This window comes from Homo sapiens, chromosome 20, assembly GCF_000001405.40.
Source record: "Homo sapiens chromosome 20, GRCh38.p14 Primary Assembly".
NCBI classification, from domain to species: domain Eukaryota; kingdom Metazoa; phylum Chordata; class Mammalia; order Primates; family Hominidae; genus Homo; species Homo sapiens.
In genome coordinates, this window is record NC_000020.11 from 53,160,863 (window position 1) to 53,182,330 (window position 21,468).

Genomic DNA, 21,468 nt, shown 5'->3' on the forward strand with positions numbered 1-21,468 from the left:
CATCTTCATCTATATATTCCCTACTCTTAATCTATTTCTTTATAAGGTGCTAATAGGCCAGGTGAAAATTTCCACTAATCTATTAATAAAAGCAGACCAGTGATAGGCTTTAAGAATAAAGTCATGATAAAGTTAGCAAATACAGAGGGGAAAGAAACAGCAAAATGTTTGGGGTTTTTTGTTTGTTTGTTTTCGAGAACATTGCTACTTGGTTCCATTAGACTCCTTTGATTGTACATGACAGAAACCAACTCTGGTTATTTTCAGCAAAAAAAAAAAAAAAAAAAAAAATAGGAGGTAATGCAAGGCTATCTGATGGAGTGGTATTTGACTTGAGAGCTCATTATTGAGGAAAAACCCAGCCAAATGAATGTCTGCGGAATGAGTGTTCTAGGCAGTGCAAAGATCCTGAGGTGAGAGCAAAAGAGGTGTGCCACAGGGTTGGAGGAAAGACCCATGGGTGGGAGGAGGGTGAACATGACGGGGAGCACTCAGACTGATGAGACAGGGCTTTGTAGCTCATGGTAAGGAGTTTTAATTTCATTCTCTGTGATAGAAAGCCTTACATGTGTAGTAGTCCGTTTTCACAGTTCTATAAAAATACTACCTGAGACTGGGTAATTTATAAAGGAAAGAGATGTAATTGACTCACAGTTCTGCATGGCTGGGTAGGCCTCAGGAAACTTACAGTCATGGCAGAAGGCAAAGGAGAATCAAGTAACTTCTTCATAAGGCAGCAGGAAAAGAGAGTACAAGCGAAAGAGGAACTGCCAAACACTTATAAACCCATCAGATGTTGTGAGAACTCAACTCACTATCATGAGAACAGCATGAAGGAATCCGCCCGCATGATACCATCACCTCCCACCAGGTACCTGCCTCAACACGTGGAGATTATAATTCCAGGTGATATTTGGGTGGGGCCACAGAACCAAACCATATCATAGGGTTTTAAGTAAATGAGTGATATTATTTGAGTTAGAGTAGAGAAATATCACACTTCTATAAACAATTACTATATCTCAGGCACTGTATATCCACCTTAGGTCCTTTTCCTTTAATCTTCACCAATGAATGGGTACAATTATTATCACTTCTCAGATTAGTAAAGTGAGGCTTAGGGAGGAAAAGCAACTTGTTTGGAGTCACATAGTGACTATATGGCAAATCTGAACCTCAACCCTTGTCATCTGCCTCCAGTTCCTGGCTCAAAATACTCATTAAAGGCTCATTTTTATTGCCATTGTTTATGATGTTTATTTTTCTAACCCTTCCAAGAGTGTTTTGTGGATTGCATTATTCTTTTCTTCTCAATTTTATAAATAAAAGAGACTCGCCTCAAAATCACAACTGAAGGAAAAAAATAACAAACTTGTAGTTTCCTCTAAAGAACTTCACGGACACCCAGCTCAGAAGAATTTGGCCCGGCCAGGGATGGGGCGGGGAGGGAAGGACTGGCTGCCGCAATGTTTTGGGTTCGGCCATCCCATTTGTGAGAATTAGGAATGTTCTTTGGACAAAAGATCAAACACAAGCTTACTCCTTTCTATGCTGAGACGTTGCCCACTCGCTTCCTCTTTTGTATCTTTCCTGGTAACTCGACTTCAGTTTCTCTGATGGTAAAGAGATGAGATCAGCCACTAGGGGATCGGTCGATGGGATCAGGTTTCAGTCATCAAAAAATTACGTCAAGTGCTAAGCATGAGTTACCTTCCACTGCCAGTGTCAGCCCAGGACGTGACTGCAGGGCCATCAATCCTGCCTTCCTTGTCCTTGTAGATGTTAAAATACAGGGTACTCTGGGAATTCATTAGTGGGGGTGTTGCATGGGAAAGGAGGGGCTATGCTCCAGGAAAAGTGGGTATAGAGGCAGAGATGTAGCTTTCTAATGCTGTTACCTTGCACATTCTAACTATTAACTGCAGAGACATCTGCTGATTGTTTTCTTTACAAAGCGGGGGAGGGGGAGAAAATAAGAAAGTTAATTTCAGAGTTGGAAGCAGGTTTAAAATGACCTTCGTCAGTTATAAATATAACATCTACTTACTTTTAACCAGTTTATTTCCAATTCAATAACTTTTATTGAGTGTTTCCATCATAATAATTGTTTTTAAAAAGTTTACTATTAGAAAGTACTGAAAAGAATGTAGGAAAACAATTTCCTCCATAGTCCTACTATACAGAGGAAGATCCATTCTGTTTCCTGTCTATCGGCCTCTCTGCTCCTCTTTTAAATACTGAACCCAACTTTTTTATTGTTTCAAATGATGTGACTATATTGTACCTATGATTTGTGTGATAGGCGTCACACCCAGGAGGTGTGATGGTCCCCACCTGCTGAGATCCCTGTCCTTGTGTGATTTTATCCTCTTGAAAGTGGATGGACTTACCCTCCTCTAGTAAACAGAATATGGCAAACATATTGGGATGTCACTTCCAAGATTAGGTTATAAAAAGATGGTGGCTTCCATCTTAAGTGCACGCACGCTCTCTGTCTCTTTTTTTTTTTTTTTTTTTTTTTTTTGAGGTTTCAGGGCATCTTTGGTGCCACAGTAGCTCAAGAAGAGCCTTTTATTTTATTTTATTTTATTTTATTTTTTTTTATTATACTCTAAGTTTTAGGGTACATGTGCACATTGTGCAGGTTAGTTACATATGTATACATGTGCCATGCTGGTGCGCTGCACCCACTAATGTGTCATCTAGCATTAGGTATATCTCCCAATGCTGTCTCTTGAATCACTCACGCTGGGGGACAGCCAGTAGCTGTGGTGTGGGCTATCCTGTGGTTTGGTGAGATACTGAAGGCGTCACTAGGCAGTCCACAAGCCTGCCAGAAATCACTTGCCAAAAACTACATGAGTTAACTTAGGAGTGGACTCTTCATTCCCAGTGGCTTGACTGCAACCTGGTGAGAGATTCTGAATCAGATTCACTGAGCTAAGCCCCTTCTAGTTTCCTAAACCACAGAAACTGTGAGATAATAAATGTTTGTTGTTGTTAGTTGCTGGATTTTTGAATAATATGTTACACAGCAATTGATAACTAATATAATTTTTTATTCTGGTTTTCTCCATTAATTATGTCATAAGCATCTTATCAAGTGGTTATATTATATTGTAATAACCATGTTTATGTAACATCATCAAGTAGGAGTATTTATACTTATTTATTGCTTATTTAATCTCTCCTTTATTACAGGACATTTACTTTGTTCTGTTTTTTGTACTATAAACACCACTGTGGTGAACATCTTTTTATGTAGAGCTTCTATTTTTTTTTTAGCTATTATCCTAAAATAGATTGGAATTAGTTTTAGGATTAGGAATCAGCTTGGATTACTGGATCAAAGGGTAAGAATATTTGTATTTCTCTGGATTTTTATTACACAACTTCTCCCCAGTAGGAGAGATTAATCAATACACTACTACCAGAAATGCAGGTCAATGTCTACTTCATCTCACCTTTGCCTTTTATTTTGATTATTGACAATTTGATAGGCAAAATATTTCATAGTTTACAACTATTAAAAGAAAGAGATCATTTTCCTGGTCACCTTTCTTAAAAAAAAAAAAGGAATATACATAGGGGTTGAAATACTGAGATAAGGAACTAAATATTAATTAACTAGAAGAAGTGCTGTCCAATAGAACTTTCTGTGATGATGGAAATACCCTCTATCTGTATGTCTACACTAGTAGCACTAGGCATCTGTGGCTGCTGGGCCCTGTTAGCTAGTGCAACTAAGAAACTAGTTATTTTTTGAATTTTATTTTATTTTAAATGCCCACATGGAGTTAGTGACTACTATATTGAACTGCACTGTTCTGAAGGATTAAATGAAATACTAGCCTTCTATAGAAGAAAGCAGTTGAAGTTTGAGACACTGAAGCTTTCGCCTTCCTAACAATATCCCCTTTTCCCTACGCATTGGCTTTAAATAGGATGTCCCATGGGTCTGACATTTAAATCATAGTAACATTATTTCCATAAGGAATTCTATAAAATAAACATATGTTGCCTACCATAAAAGGACACGCTTAGAGGGACCTAATATCATTGATGTTTGTTTGAGATGCAAGGATCCTTGATTGATGGTTATATGATCACCACTTTCATTTAATCTCTGCTTCTACTTTCCAATATCCCTGCCTAGTGGTCTTGCAAACCATTACACTTGTCACAGAGGCTGGCATGAATGAGTCGATGGATAGATGAGTGGATGGAAGGGTGGATGGATGGATGGATGGATGGATGGATGGGTGGATGGATGGATGAGGATGGATAAAAGTAATAATAACAGCTAACACTCATAGTGTGCCTATTAAGTGTCAAAATTTGGACGCAAGGTTTTACCTGCAACATTTCATTCCCATTCAATCTTTGTAACAGCCCAAAGAGGCAAGTGTCACTAATTTTTCCTGTCTGACAGATGAGGAAACTGAGGAAATAACTAGTAAGTTACACAGGCCATGTTTGAACCAGATTTGTCTGCCTTCAAGCCTTTTCCTAATCAATTATCCAACATCACACCATGAAGCTGTGAAATACAGCACCATGCATTATTTACACCTTGTCACATTGTCGTGGTGGCGATTGAAAATTTTCTCCTGCAGGTAGCTACAGATGCTAGGGAGAAAATGCTCAAAACTGACAGGTACCTCACTTGTCTCTAAAAGTGGCTCTTTCACTTTTTATTGCTGACCAACTTCTAATGTGTCAGTGCTATACTAATGTGGTTAACTGTTTGCCTGGGGCAGAAAAATAAAGCTTCTGACATGCAATTAAAACCTGTCTTGCCCAATTGGGCGACTAATGAGATCAGCAAGAGTGGAAGCTGCCTAGTTAAGGCGTAGTTTGTGTCTCAGATCCATTTCATGGGGCAAGTGAAAGAGTGGCCAAGTGGAGTCGCCTGATGGTGAATTTGAAACATAATTAGGTAGTCCTCCCAGCCACCCTTGACTGCCCATTTGGGTCCACATGCAGACTCACTCACAACGGTGACTGCAAACCCTTGCACAGCCACTTAACACTGAGCTCCTTTCTGATGGGCTCACACAGCATTCCCATCATTCTGTCCTCTGGCCTGGACACTGAAGTTCATCACAAACTTTCTAGTTTCAGATGGTGGCATATGTTTAGTTGTCCCGTTCCCAAATCTGTGAACTCTTTGTTCCTGCAATGACTTATCAGAAACTAATACAAGTTGAAGATTTGTCTAGAATGGGCTGTGACGACAACTGGACATCTCCACCCTTTGAGGATATTGCTGGGAGCTTAGAGTCCTTGTTAGATTTCCCCATCCTTGGTTTTGTTATTAAAAGATTTCTCAGGAGGTATTGGGGCAGTTTCAACATATTCTATTAATCAAGTTAGTTTTGATTTACTTTATTCAACAAATGTTCATTGAAAACCAACTGGGTAAGAAAAATTCTAAGTGTGGTGCACACAGACATTGAATAAGGCGAATTTGGGCTGGGCATGATGGCTTACACCTGTAATCCCAACACTCTGGAAGGCTGAGGTGGGAGGATTTCTTGAGGCCAGGAGTTTGAGACCAACCTGGGTAACACAGCAAGAGCCTGTCTCTACAAAAAAAACTAAACATTTGAAAAATTAAAAATTAGGCCAGGAGTGGTGGCTCATGCATGTAATCCCAGCACTTTGGGAGGCTGAGGTGGGTGGATCACTTGAGGCCAGAAGTTCAAGACCAGCCTGGCCAACATGGTGAAACCCCATCTCTAATAAAAATACAAAAATTAGTCAGGCATGGTGGCACATGCCTGTAGTCCTAGCTACTTGGGAGGCTGAGGTAGGAGGATCACTTGAGCCTGGGAAGTAGAGGTTTCAGTGAGCCAAGATCACACCACTGCACTCCAGCCTGGGCAACAAAGTGAGACTCTGTCTAAAAAATAATAATAATAAAATAAAAAATCAAAACAAAAATAAGGCAAACTCTCTGCCTGCATGCAGCTTACAATCAATGGTTTGAAAAAGACAATAAACAGGTACATAAATATCTGAATAGGATAATCTCAGATGCTGCTAAGTATTATATTAAAAAAACCTGATAATGTAATAGTGAATGACTAAAAATAAAGGTGGGAACAACTATGGAGACAACGGTCAGAGGAAGGTGACATATAGGCTGTGACCAGAAGGCTGAGTAGTCCCAGTCATGACAAAAATCTGGAGGAAGACCTTTCTACACAGAGGAAGCAGCAGGTACAAAGGTCCTGGGGTGAGAATGAGTTGGGTTTGTTCTTTCTGGAAAAGAAAGATGGTGGCTGGAGCTCAATGAATCCAGAATAAAGTGGGAAGATGAATGTAGAGGCCAGCAGAGGCCAAGTCACATATGACTATGCTGTCTGTGGAGGTGAGCTTTTATTCTACATCAAGAAGGATATAGTTTACATCTACTGTAACCAGACACTAAATTGAGCACTTTATATACATTTTCTCTTCTGATCTTCACACCAACCATATAAGGTAGACATTATTTTCACTATATAGGTGAGAAAACTGGTGCTTAGGCATGTTTAATAACTTTCCTAAAATCACAGGTAGGAAGCAGGGAAGTCAGGCTTCAAACCTATGTTTGACCCCATCACTCATTCTCACAGTCACCAAGCTGTGCTGAGATCAGACTTTGTGTCAGGGTGGAGAATGGTAGGGAGTAATGTTTTGTTTGTTTGCTTGCTTGTTTGTGTGTGTGTGTGTGTTTGTGTGTGTGTATGTGTGTGTTTAATAAGGGACTCTAGGTATTCCTCATATCATATCAATTGGATGGCAGTTTAATTCATAATGTCTTAAACATTGCAATCTCAAATTGTTCTTCCTGGAGGCCTGTGTGTTTGAATGAGAGGTGCAAGTGGTGAAGGTGGCAGAGAGGTGAACTTTGCAGCACCTGTCAATGCACGCTCCCACTGGGTGGGGTATTACGTCCCCCGTAGAGTCATGTGAAGTTATGACAAATGTGACATTAGCACCAAATTGGAATAAAGAAGACAAAGTTGAACATGTGAATAACTGTCTTTCAAGGTGTTTCTTTATGCCCAGGTGACAAAAAGTCCCTGGTACATTTCTGTCTGATTTTCTGACAAACTGACTGCCACAATCTGGCAGGGAGTGGCAATAGTCGCCTTGCCAGTCATGGGCAACCTGATTTGTTGGACTGCAGGGTCTGTCTGGCATCAGTTGGTCATTGTTCTTTTTGGCATCATGGGTGTGTGATTATGTCCAGAAGGCAAGCAAACCTCAGTCCCCGAGATCAAGTGCACTCTCAATTTGATTTGTTCAGGGTTTGTCCAATGGCACTGTTGACATTTTTGTCTGGATAGTTGTTTGCTGATGGAGGCTGTCCTGTATATCGTCGGACGTGTAGCCCCTACCCTCAGATACCACTAGCACCTCACCCCAGGCTGTGACAGACAAAAATGACTCCAGACATTGTTCTATGTCCCCTAGGAGCCAACCTCCCCACCTGAGAAATGAAAACCACTGGCTTATTCACATAGTCTAGTTTATGAGAATGGAATGTGTTCTTAGTTAAACTCCAAAAGAGTTAAAATCCACTCAAATATACCAATCCTGAAGCTAGAAATAACATCTATGGCTGGCTATTCAGAGACTTTGCCTTAGAAAACTTATGATGAATACTGGAAAAATTGATTGAATATATATGGATTCCATGACATACTCTGAAAGATGTTTTTGCTTGTCTGTCTCCTTGTATTAGGATAATTAAGGCTAGCTGGTGAAACAAACAGCTAAACATCTCAGTGGCCCAACACAGTAAACATTTATGTTTCACATGTACAAAGTTGATCTCCACGTGGTGACTCAGATGCAACCTTCTTTCCAGGGTAGCTCTGCCATCTGGAGCATGTGGCTTCCAAAACCATTGAAGGTGTGAATGAGTTCTGTAACTGATGCCCATCACTTCTTCCCTCATCCCATTGGCCAGAAACTGGGAAGAGTGGTCTTCCTGTAGCAAGAGAAAGAAGAAATAGGATTTGGCAAACAGGTGGCATCACTTCTGCTATCATCCTAGATATCGGCTTTTCAGTTTATTGAATAATGTTCAAAATCTTCTTGATTTGTAACCTGAATTACAAATAAACAATAGTTATGACAGTACAGTCTTCCCTAAACATGCCAAGCATCAGAATTACAGACTCCTCACGTCCTGCCCATCCATTCCAATTTGAGAGGTCTGAATGAGGTTCAGGAATCTGTAATTTTTACTTGCTCCAGGTAAGTGGGATGGATAGGTATCTAGGACTCACTGGTCTCAGATCCAAGTAGTCTTACATCTTCATTTTTACTGCCCTTCATTAGGTTAAGAAATTGAGAGTTGGTTCTCACCTTTCTGGGCTTTATTTGAAACAAAAACTGTATTGTCAGCTGGGTTCAGCTCTTCCTCCAATCTGGTAAACTCTCCAAGCCATAATTGTACCAGCTTCTGGCCTCTCAACGTCATTGCTCCAGCCGTGTTGAGCTCTAGTCTCCCATGCTTCCTTGACCAATGCTCCACACTGCTCAGTAATCTCTTAGGAAATGCAAATCTGTTGGTTTTAATTCTTTGCCCAAAGTCATCAATGATTTCCCATTGTCCTAGGATCAAGTCCAGATGTTTTATTATCTACCTAAAACCCTTTTCTTCCAGCTCTCTTTTTTAACTACATCGCCAAGGCTAGCATGGTTCCTGGCATATAGTAAGCCCCTCAAAAAAATCTGTTGCATGAATGAGTTTGTAGAATGCACTGAACTGTGCATATATGTAAATTTAAACTTGTCAGAAGAATTAGATGTCATTCCCCCTCCCCTTTTTAAACAGAATCCAGTTTATATCAGTTCTTCACAGTGTCAAGAACTCAAGTCTTGAGAATAGTTGTCTATTTTTATAGAAATTTGCATATCAATTAATAAATTTTGCACATGTGCATGCCCAGGTATGTGCCTATATATACATTGTATATTATACTTATGTAAAGGTATTTATACACAGTTATGTAACCAATGTATGGTATGTATACTTATACATTCATAAGTAAATATATTCAATAAATGTATGTGTGTATAAGTGTGTATATTTACATATATATGCCCATTTTTTCTGATCTGCATACCACCATTGAAGACAAGAATGCTACTTGTCTTCAAGAATGCTACAAGAATAACTACTGTTTGGAAAACAGATGTGAAAACTGAGGCTTGCAGAGGAAAATCAACTCTAGCAGAGCCACATAGCTAGTAATTACAGAGCCAGGTTTTGAATGGAGATCTATTCAGCCCCAAAGTCTAGACTTTGTCTTTCGATTACACTGCTTTTCTAGGGCTATGCTGCTTCTAATTCCATGTTAACATTTATACTGTAAACAGAATCGCTGTTCCTCATAAATAAGCAAATGAAATTGACATCTAGGCTAAGAAGCCGTAGACTGCAGCCTGTATCTACTGTAATGTGATTCTGAAAGAGTTTTGTTCATTTTCTCTTAGGATAGATACAGTTTTGTATTTCCTAGCAAGCGTATGCCAAAATCTGAGTCTGCTTCCTTAGAAGTTTGGCATCTCTTCTCTCTCCTAAGATGAACCAGGGTTTCTGAATCTTGACAACCTTGACGCTATTGAACCAGATACTTTCCTGCTATGATGGTGGTGGCGGGGGCCGGGGAGGCTGTCCTGGGCACTGTACACTGTTGAGCAGCATCCCCGGCCTCCACCCACTGGATGATTGTAGCACCTCTCCCCCAGGTTGTGACAATCAGAGAATGTCTCCAGACGCTGGCAAATGTAACCCCAGTTGTGAACGCTGAAATGTGTGGTATGAAAAAAGGTTTCTAATCATAATGCTGAGCTTAGCGGTACTAAAATAGACCTTTATATAATGAAAGGGCATTGGTTTGTCTTCCTTAAGGTGAGGGATATTGGATGTTAGGACGTCAGAGTGGTGTTTGGGCCCAGCTCTAGCCTTGCCCAAGACACACGTCTCTGGCTCTCCCTCCTCCAGTCCCAAATCCCCACACCTTTGATGGTGCTCCTCTCAAAAGGAAGGAAAGACAATAAAAAATGAAAAGAAAAAAAGTAATTAAAAAAAAAAAACACAAAAAGATATAGTTTCAAAATTACATGTCCTTACAGTCTGTCCAGCTAATAGAATTATGCACCGCAGCTTTAATTTAGACATCGAGTTTCATCTCTTACTTAAATGTATCTGTGTGTTTTAATAGGAACATTCAGCTTTGCTTTTATTAATGCAAAAACATTAAGGCACCAGCCCTCGATCCGAAAGCCTTAAAGGGCTGTTTCCAACAGAACCTGTCATAAAATGTGCTCTCAAGCGTGTCCCCTTTAAGAGACTCCAGAATTAAATGTTCCCGTATGTGAATTTTATTTTGTACAGCACATTTGCTTTATGGCTACAATTAAGTTAGATGTGCCGATAACAATGTCTGTTTTCCATTTTAAATCGCACATTTCAGACAGTGTGCATTGTTTTATTATCTAATCCACATGCTTTTAATTGCAATTATGGTCCCTTATGAGTCCCCTGGGAGGGCATGATTGCAATTAAAAATGTAATTTAAATGTTAATTAATTACATTCATTTTCTAAACTGGGAAAATTTCATTTATTATTTTCATGTGTTGTGCACTTATCCTAAATGCATTACCTTCTAAATGTTTTTTTTTTCCTAAATTAAGTGTTATGTTTATAAAACAGGGTGTTTAATACCCTTTAAAATTTTTGTGAGGGTGTTTGTACAAATTATTACTTTAAATTAATTGATTCTGAGCTATATGCAGGAGCTATATGTTTAATATATAATAAAAATAATTTTGTTGACTTTTCTGAGGCTAAAACATGGTATCAAAATATATGTTTTTCTCATTTATTTTCTGGTTGACTTTGATATGGAAAGTCTACTTCTTATGACTATCATTATTATTGTTTTTTCTTAAACAAAGGAAGAAAGGTATTGTTACTACAAATGATACAGATCATTAATAAGAAAAGGGCTTTCCCCCTAGATGAAAATTGCAACCTCTAAAGAAGAAATTTATAGGTAGAGTAATAAGTCATCCTGCCTCATATGAATAAAGGGGAACAAAAAAAGAACCACAAGGACATGAAGCTTTAAAAATCATTGTAACTTACGAGGAAAAAAAATGATTGTTGTATGCATATCTCAGTTTATCCAGTCAGCCCTGTCATTTTTCTGTCTATCTCACTTTGCCTAGAACAAGAGGGTCATTTTAGATATGAATTATAAAGCAATGTCTATCTACTTTAAACTCTGAACCATATCAATTTTGGTTGGTTTTAGTGAATTAAAGTGTAAGTCCCAAGAGGACAAGGGCAGAATTTGTGTTTTTCCCAATTCAATTCCAAGTATATGCTACATGTGATCAATTAATAAAAAGGCTTTTGAGGATTTTCTTTTTTCCATTTGTTTCCTCTTCAATTGGCCAAATCTTCTTCTAGCTCTTTTATTTTAAAAATGCCTGCTATGTCTGAACTCTAGCTATTGTTTGGGTTTTATTTTTATTTTTATTTTTTAGATTTAAAATATTTAAAAGATGTCTTAGGAAAATTCTAGTCAGTTAACAGTTTAAGCTGCTCTGTGGGTAGAGGAGGAAGAAATAAGAGAGAAAAGAAAAAGTTCCCAGACTTACAACGTTCAACAAATACTTATGGCATCTTTACTCTGGAGTCTAAGCTTGAATCGTTTGTAAAATCGACTCTGTGCCTCCTCTGGGCCAGATTATGTTGCTAAATCCTCACAACCATCCTGTGAGGTGAGTACTATCATTATTTCTGTTTAACAGAGAGGAAACTGAGGCACAGAGCATTCTGGTAACTTGCTAAAGCTTCACGGCTAGAAAGAGGGAAAGCCAGGATCTGTGCCTTGGAAGACTGACTCTGGACTTGATATTCCATTCGGTCCTCTTCACCAGAGCATGGCTAAGAAACACTAGCAAACTTGAGGGAATCACGAGAGTGGACTCCACACAGCAGGTAGAGAGGAATGATAGGAGGTAGGCTCTGAAGACAAGCTCTGTGGGTTTGAATCTACTTTGCATTTGTATAACCTTGGACAAATTACCCTCCCTGCTGTAAGCCTCAATTTCCTGTTCTGTACAGTGGAGGAATGGCAGTACCTGTCTCATAATGGTCTTGAGCTGGTGCATGACACATAATGAACACAGTGCTCCCAGCACAAGGAAATATCAACTGTAGCTGCTACTATTAAATAGAGCTCTGCCTTCAAGAAGCTTACAGTCTAGCTGAGAACAGGAGTAAATGATAGAAGGCCAGGGGGAATAACTTTAACAAAATAAAATAAAGTAGATTAAAATAAAAATCACCAAATTGTCCATCCATAAAGGATTGGCCAAATAAACTATATCCTATCCACCTGCTAAAATGCTAGGTAAGTATTTAAATAATAATAAAGCGGAGGCTGGGCGCTGTGGCTTACACCTGTAATCCCAACACTTTGGGAGGCAGAGGCAGGCGGATCACTAGGTCAGGAGTTCAAGACCAGCCTGGTCAACATGGTGAAACCCCGTCTCTACTAAAGATACAAAAAATTAGCCAGGCATGGTGGTGTGCACCTGTAATCCCAGCTACTCAGGAGGCTGAGGCAGGAGAATCGCTTGAGCCCGGGGGGCAGAGGTTGCAGTGAGCCGACGTAGCGCCACTGCACTCCAGCCTGGGCAACAGGGTGAGACTCCATCTCAAAAGAAAATTAATAATAATAACAATAAAGCAGATCCATATGGATCAAGCTTTTAGGTATATTGTTAAATGAAACAGTCAACAGTCTGAACAGTTGTGTAACTGAAAAGGGGATGGATGGGTGGGTGGGTAGGCAGGTAGGTAGGTAGAAAGTATTTTTGTAAATGCACGATCATGTTCTGGAAAGATATGAGACCATACACAGTGATGATTTGGGGGTTGGGGCTGCCAGGAAGGTGTGTGGAAGGCACCCAGGATCTTGTTTTGTTTTGTTTGTTTAGATTTTATACCTCTGTGTGTAGTGTGTGTGTTTTACAAAGTCCATGTGATACTTTTAATTTTAGATAGAACTTCAAAGTATACACAAACACATACAGACAGACATACACACACATACACATACCCATGAAGGCATGGCCCTGACCACAGGGAAATTCAGGAGGGAGAGGAAGGGGAAATGGAGAGGAAGAGACATCTCAGGATGCTGGAGTGACCAGCATGGCTTTATCTGTGTGTTGTCCTAGCTCTAACGGTTTTAGCATGGGAGAGATGTCAAATGGGCTAGAGTAAGAACAAAGCGTTAGAGCTAGGATAGGGTTGTGCGCCCAGCCAGAAGCTGATAGAGAATTAAGGGGAAAGTTGGCCCCTTGGGTAATATTTAAATCTATGAAGAATAAAATCAAGTAGAAAAAGAAAAAGGAAAACAAGAGATTCCTTGCCTTGAGCTTCAGATCTAAGGAGAAACTTTCACAAACCCCACTAGCAGTTGAGACCTGGGGACTCAACCATAAGTCTTGCTGTTTGTCAAAAGCAACCCTTCATAGGCCATGTCGAATAAGTTCCAGCATTTTTAATTAAATTGGGGCCAGTGGAATGGGTCACAGATGGACTGGGCTCATTTTCAAATCTGCTTCTGCTAACTGTGTGCCTTGTAGGACTCAGCACCCACCTTCTTTATCTGCAGAGCAAGAATGATAATACTGGTGGGTGGATGCCTATCAAGCTCTGAGTTGTCAAGCCTGGCACTCAAGGCTTAGCTATCATGACGCCTGTGTCTCTGGGACATGCTCAGGGTTATTCTCCTTTAGGCTCTGCCTTGGTCACGTGGGTTCCAACAAAGGAAAATGTAAAATGGAATTTGGGGTGATTCAAGTCCACGGAGGGGCAGTCCCAGTGTAATATTTAGACAAATCCAGAGAAATGCAGCACTTTTTAAATTGGGTCCCAAACAAAAATGGCATAGTGGTAGGAAGGAGGCAGCGTGAAGGAGGAAATGGATCAAGAGCAGGAGAAAAATAAAAGAAAAAATGAATAGGAAATTGCAGGACCCCATTTCTGAGGGTCTGAATAAATAATCTTTCTTGGCTCTTCGTTTTTTCATTATTTTACAAATGTCTTTCTCTCGATGAGTTTCTGTTTGCTGGCTTTTAGAATGAGACGTAACGGGGGCAGCAAGAGGATGATTCCTGACTATGTTATAGCTCCCTGGGCTTTTTCTTCTCCTTCTCCTCCTTCTTCTTCTTTCTTTTTTTTTTTTTTTTTTTTTTTTTTTTCAACGGAGTTTTGCTCTTGTTGCCCAGGCTGAAGTGCAATAGCACGATCTCGGCTTGCTGCAACCTCCTCTTCCCAGGTTAAAGCAATTGCCTGCCTCAGCCTCCCGAGTAGCTGGAATTACAGTCGCCCACCACCACGCCTGGCTAATTTTTTGTATTTTTAGTAGAGACTGGGTTTCACCATGTTGGCCAGGCTGGTCTCTAACTCCTGACCTCAGGTGATCCACCTGCCTCGGCCTCCCAAAGTGCTGGATTACAGGTGTGAGCCATTGCACCTGGCCCCCTGGGCGTTTTTTTCTTCTGCCTTGGCCCTTGGTGGTTTTGTCTGATGCTCAATGGCCAGAAGGAAACACACCCTTGTGCTTATATCAACGGCTTTCTTCCAGGAAGCATGGCACTGCTTTCAGAGCATGCACACATTGTTATCTTGTCTGTTCGAGGGAAGTCAGGTCAGTCTTCTCATCTGTCTCCCACAGATAAGCAGCTGAGGCAGAGGGTGGATTGGGGTAGGGCAGATAGTGGCTGCTCCAGGCCATACAGTGAATCAGGAATTAGTGCCAGAATGAGAAGTTCCATCGGCTCCTCTAGATTGCTTGGATTCAGATTGGTGGTACCCCGACCTACAGACTTGGTTAGCATGTCACAAAGACTGACTTCCCCCAACCTTTGTTGCATTCATTCAGCTAAACTTTACTGGGCACATGCCAGCTGCCTGTCCAGGTGTGGGGAATCCTTCAGTGAACAGAACAGAGCCTTATTCTCATGGAGATTATTTGCTAGCAAAGGAGACCCAGAGTAAAAACGTAAATAAATAAACAACGTAATTTCAGATCATTACAAGTGCTGTGAAGAAGATGAGTGTGCACACACCCCTTTAATCCAGATATTTGACACTGACTGGACAGAGTTAAATTCCCTCCTTGCTCTTTCATTCACAAGGTGTTTGACAACAGGTGCTGAACTGCTGGAGTTACTGCTCCTTAGTTCTAAGGTCATCTTCAGGCTTTTCCCTCTCAAATGCCTTTTCCACATTTTCCTCCTATTTTCTCTCCCTCTTTCTTTTACCCGTTTTCCCCTCCTGTCTGTATCTTCTCCCTGATAAGCCTCAAAGAATGCCTCATAGACTGAAATAGTTCTTTGCCCTCATCCTTAAAAGTTGCTGAACACCTGTAGCCAGCAGGTGTCAGAGGGACAGTGCTAGAATCCTTTTGGGAGGAGGTGTCTGCTAGGCTTAGCTCACCTCATTCCCCAGTGCAGGGAGCCAGCGGGTAGGTTTCTCAAAGCCCTCTTAATTGAGGGTTGCTAGGGAGCATTGTTAGAATGAAAAACCAAGGGGACGTGACTGAGGACTCCCAACCTGTGCATGTTTCCTACAGCATTGATTACTGGAGTTGGTGACCGGTACTGGTGCAAAACTCCCTAATTATTTCACAGGGCTTAAGTCAAGAGTAACAGGATATTAGTGATTTAATCAACATTGTTATCTCTAAATTATATTTTTATTTAGAAGTTGTATTTCTTTGTTTCTTTCTTTTTTTTTTTTTTTTAGACGAAGTCTCGCTCTGTCACCAGGCTGGAGTGCAGTGGTGCAATCTCGGCTCACTGCAACCTCCGCCCCCTGAGTTCAAGCGATCCTCCTACCTCAGCCTCCCGAGTAGCTGGGACTACAAGCATGCGTCACCACGCCCAGCTAATTTTTATATTTTTAGTAGAGATGGGGTTTCACTATGTTGGCCAGGAAGGTCTCGAACTCTTGACCTTGTGATCCACCCGCTTCGGCCTCCCAAAGTGCTGGGATTACAGGCACGAGCCATCGCACCCAGCCAGAAGTTGTATTTCTTTATGTATTTATTTTTGTTATTATTGTAGAAATTATATTGTAGAAATTTTTTGTTATTATCATTGTAGAAATGGGAGTCTTAGTATGTTGTCCAGGCTGGCCTCGAACTCCTGGCCTCAAGTGATCCTCCTGCCTCAGCCTCCCAAAGTGCTGAGATTACAGGTGTGAACCACTGCATCCAACCACTGTATGCATCTTTGTAACCTACCTGCCTTACCAGGGGTAAAAGGACACCTAAACCAGCTCCCAGGAAAACCTCTGTCCTTACCCAGCATGGTTTTAGATTCCAATACAGGTTAAAATTGCCGTGGCTCATGTGAAGATGAAGAGTTAGTATAAATTGTTAGTTCAGGATTTAGTGGAGTGCATCTCAAATTTTAATGTGCGTATGAATCTACTGGGGATCTCATTAAAATGTAGATTCTGATTCAGCAGATCTGTGCCGAGATTCTACATTTCCAAGGAGCCTTCACTGGTGCACATACGGCTGGTCCTCAAACCACACTTGAAGAAGCAAGGCTTTAGACTTGCCCTTTAATTCCAGTTCTTTCTTCAGGGCTGCATTAGGTCTTCCATGAATCCTTGGCACCTTTACCTTCGGGGCCCCTCGCATTTAAAAAGATATTAAAAATTATATCCTATGATTACATTAGTATACAGACAAATATGTTAATCTACATTTAAGCAGTTTCTTCTATCTAAAAGTTCATTATTTTTCTTCTGATTTTAAAATAAATAAAAATCTGGTCATGGACCCACACATAATGTTTCTAGGGACAGTTCCTAGGTGCTCTCCCTACAGTGCCCAAGGTAGGACTTGATCCCAATGTTGAGAGGAGTTGCCCCTTACTGACTTCATGCTGAAACTCTCAGAGCCTCTATTTCCTCATCTGTAAAATGGGGATCACAGTATCTCTCGCACTGCTTTGGCTCTTTGCACAGTGCCTGGTGCATTGTAAGCACTCTGGAAATGTTAGCTTTTGTCTCCAAAAGTTACCTGGCTCCCCGTTAGCTGTCACTGTCTCATGACCTATTAAAAGTCAGATCCTACACACATCACTGCTGCTCTCTTAAAGCTGTTTGATATGTCCTACTGGTTGCATGACCTGGATAATTTCCATAAATTAACCTCTTTTACCTTCCATTTCTGCGCTACCCTGCTGTTCCTCTTCTGGAAGGACCCTATCATCTCTTGGACGCAGCAGACAGCGATGCCACACGAACTTCTGCCATGACACTCGGCACCTCCCGCGAGTGCTCAGACACTCATCTGCAGCTTGCTCTCTAAACTCATCATTTCTGTAGAAAGGCAGCACAGCCCCTGATGGATCTGGAATTAACTGTCGATTTTTCTGCCTGTCACTCTGAGAAGAGGAAGGGACCATAGAGCTAATCACATGAGGCATCACCATCACTGTTTTCATGTTCTTTTGTTTATCTTAGCCCCTGACTCCTCTTGATTGTACTTGCCTCAATCCTAAGACTCTGTCCATTGTAAAACATGCTGTAGATTTGGCCAAAGCTTTTTTGGGGAGGAGTGAGTGAGAGGTGGAGAAGGAACCCTCGCATATTAAATGTACACACAAATTGCATCCCAATTTCATGTGGAAATTAAAATAAGGTGATTTCAGAGTGAAGGAAATGCAATCATGTTTTATGGAGTTTGATAAAATCCCATAGTCTCATTAAGGAAATAGTCATCACCAGGATGTGGGCCTCACTTTATAAGAAGATAGAGTAAAATGAAGCTTAATTTTCCTTTGTAATATTTTTGATACTTCCAAATAGTGATAGCATCCAGTCATAGCATCGCCAAATGATAGATGCAGAATTTGCTATAAATTTGGATTTTCAAGCTATATCCTTTTTCATTTTCTTCTATAGGAATTCCTATCACATGTACTCTTTGAAGTAGTAATGTAAGATCTTAAGTTTTCATAAGCACTTTGCATTGCAATTCAGAGCATCCACTCATGCGAAACATAAGCTGTAGTTTTAGTGTGATTTTTTTAAAGGGGAAAGGGGTCAAACCCTTGCCAGTTGGTCAAACTCTTTTCTTTTTAGTTTATCTTCATCACAGTCCAAATCTTTCTCATTGAACGGGAAACATTTTCTGATCTCAACCTTTATTGATACAAATGTTGATTTTTTTTTTTTTAAGGAAAAGAGTATCTCCTTCCTCAAAAGGGATTTCATTTGAGTGTTTCTTTCTCATTTTCTTCGAAGTAATTCTTCCAAATTGACCCACACCACATCGAGTCTTGGTCTCCACTGCCAACCTCAATTATAAAATGGAAACTAGGTGAACAAATTATCAAACCTCTGTATGGGAAATGTGGAAAACATTTAGAAATATTCACCAAGATTTACTTCCAGCCATCATGACTTAATCACAGGTGCTGCATCCGTAATTTTCACCTTACAGAAAGTACATAAGCAGCTTTGCAGATTTCAGTGCTAGGATGCCAAAGGATCCAGAGAAGTCATAGGTGAGACTTCAGGTGGACAAACTACCTGGACAGTTGACAAGGTTTCCGGCTGTTCCAGAAGCTCACGTGCCACCTGAGTAGGCTTACTGAGTGATAGCCCATAATTGACAGGTATTACCTCTTGACTCTGAACATCTGGTCTCCCATTTACTCCCTCCCCTGGTTCTTCTGTGACCCATCGTCATTGTCCAGGCGGCCTTGCCTGTTGAACATATCGCTTGACCAGCACTGCTTCCTGGATATCTGTAGAGCCTTTGGCATACCCACACGTGTATTTTATAAAATTTAAGTTCAAACTAAAGCGTGCTGGGGGCCAGAGAAGATAAATGCCAGCTTTTTTATCGTCAAGGTAACGATAAGAGATTCACTAGAATTTACATAGCACCAAAGTCGATTTACGTGCTTATTTACTCTGTTGTTCTCCTTTAAAAAAGATGGAGTTACCCTAGCAACTGTAAGATCACGTGATGTTCAGAATAACCGTAATGGAAACACCTTCTGAAAGGAAAATACGCATTTCACCAGATGCATATTATAGGCACATAAACTGTCATTTATAGAATGTCGAACCATTTTGGAAATGATTGGAGGAGGTTCATGTGGCATTGAGTACTTTCCCCATTAATTACTTCAGTAGCTTCAGAGATTCTGTGACAAAAGAAAGAGATTGGGAGAAAGGGAGGGCTTTGGATCTTCTCCTGGGCATGTTGATAGAATTGTACACTGTATCTCGATAAGCACAGCAGCAGAAAGAGCACATTACCAAAATCCATCTTTCATTACATTTTTGCATTTGGGTAGAATCTATTACTCTATTCAAACTTTGTTCCAATTCCCAGGATGATGGCATTTTCCCTAGAGGGATGGTTTGCTTTGTCTAAAGCAGAATACTCAAAGGGAACAATCCGAAGTAGAAGAAACCCCCAAGAAATGGCTTGGTCACTCAGCCAATTGGGTTTCATTTCAGTTTTACAAATTAATTTGCTGAAGTCCAGGGTGAGATACAGGTTTATGCAGAGATCACACCAGGGCAGCCCTTCCTGATTTTGGTTCAGTCTTGCATGCTCAGGATAAATAAAGCAACCCTGGAGAACTCTGTAGTTCTAAAACTCATGTAGGAGGGGCCACAACTGCCAACATCCTTCTCCTAACACTGCTGAAATGTATTTGATTAGGAGCACACCATTCGGGTGATAGGTACACTAAAAGCCCAGATGTCACCAAAGCAGAATGTATGTATGTAAGAAATCTGCACTTTTACCCCTAAATATATTTTTTAAATTAAAAAAATTATAAAATAAAATGAAAAGATCACTTGTTAACACAAAGCAAAAAGGGACAAGGAGCTGCCTTACTGAGTCAGACATGTGGCTCCTAGGAATTGGAGCTTTTGTTTTGCAGAATAATATAAATTAGATCCCATGATCTCCTATCCACGATCTCATATCCAGACCGTCTGGATAGGAGGGTCTGCCCTTTAGACTTAGCTAAAACCCCAGCCAATTGCCTTATTTCCTGGTCCCTCCCCTTCATTGAGTGTACCCCACCATTTCTCACCTTTCTTTTTCACATGTTCCTCCTTTCCCCAGCTCTTCGCTGTCTCAGTGTTTTTGCAGTTAAGTTTCTCCTAACTTCACTGTCATCTCCTGGAAGAACTTACCCTGGCCCCGCTAGATAAAGAATCTCTTCTCTACATCCCTTTTTCTCTTTTCCATAGCTCCAGTCACTCTCTGAAATGATATTGTTCATGGGTGTGTTTGTTCCTTATCTGTTTCCCCAACAAGACAATAGACTCCGCAGGGAAAGGACCATGTTGTTCTTTTTTCACAAAGGTACCCCAGCTCCAAGAAGAGTGTCTGGGGTGTAATTGCTGCTGTGTACATATTTACTCCACAAACAACAGACTGGAAGACAGTCTAAATAGATTCTGTTTCTGACAGATCAAAGGAAACAAACAGAAGTTCAGCATCTCTCTTGAAAACAAATACACTGGACAGAAAAAAGAGGTCTGGAAAGATGGACTGAGCCCACAGACACAGAAAAGCATCTAACAAATCAGGGGCTCTGAGGAGTGAGGAGTAGGGGGTCGTTGCTTTTATTTAGAAATTAACAACTGTGGGCCGGACACGGTGGCTCACACCTCTGATCCCAGCACTTTGGGAGGCCGAGGCGGGCAGATCACGAGGTCAGGAGATTGAGACCATCCTGGCTAACACAGTGAAACCCTGTCTCTACCAAAAATACAAAAAATTAGCCGGGCGTGGTGGTGGGCGCCTGTAGTCCCAGCTGCTGGGGAGGCTGAGGCAGGAGAATGGCGTGAACCCGGGAAGCGGAGCTTGCAGTGAGCCAAGATCAAACAGGAGAAAGAGAAATTAACAGCTGTGCCCAGACAGCCAGTGTGGCTGACCAGAAAGACTGAATTTAGCAAAACATGGTTTTAAAAAAATTAAATGAATGAAATAGGTGAAGAAGTGATGGTAGCAACATGTGGGCCTCAATTCTCTGACTTTTTATTTGATGATCTTAGGATATTATGCATCAGTCCATGTTGCCCCATCAAACACCTACTACGTGCCACATATAGTGCCTAGGCCGGCCTGCCTTCCTTTCCTTCCTTCCTTCCTTCCTCCCTTCTTTCTCTCCCTCCCTTCTCTCCCTCCCTCCCTCTCTTCCTTTTCTTTCTTTCTTCCTTCCTTTTCTTTCTTTCTTCTTCTCTTCCTCACTCCCTCCTTCCCTCTTGACTCCCTCCTTCCTTCCTTCTATCATTTTTTCTCTCCTTCTTCCCTCCCTCCTCCGTCCCTGCCTCCCTCCCTCTCTCCCTTCAATATTTAGTAAATCTTCA

General features: G+C 40.9%; 1 protein-coding gene across 9 annotated transcripts in view, besides 1 other annotated feature; it reads left to right on the forward strand.

The window, feature by feature from the left end:
• Positions 1 to 21,468, forward strand: part of TSHZ2 (teashirt zinc finger homeobox 2) — a 522,973-nt gene that overhangs the window by 188,505 nt on the left and 313,000 nt on the right. The gene's annotated exons all lie outside the window — the stretch shown is intronic.
• Positions 15,408 to 15,702: a silencer, noted in NCBI's record as "tiled region #1604; K562 Repressive non-DNase unmatched - State 7:EnhWF". NCBI's record gives its function as "represses a minimal TATA promoter and a strong SV40 promoter by Sharpr-MPRA in K562 cells {active_cell/tissue: K562}" and the evidence as "EXISTENCE:reporter gene assay evidence [ECO:0000049][PMID:27701403]".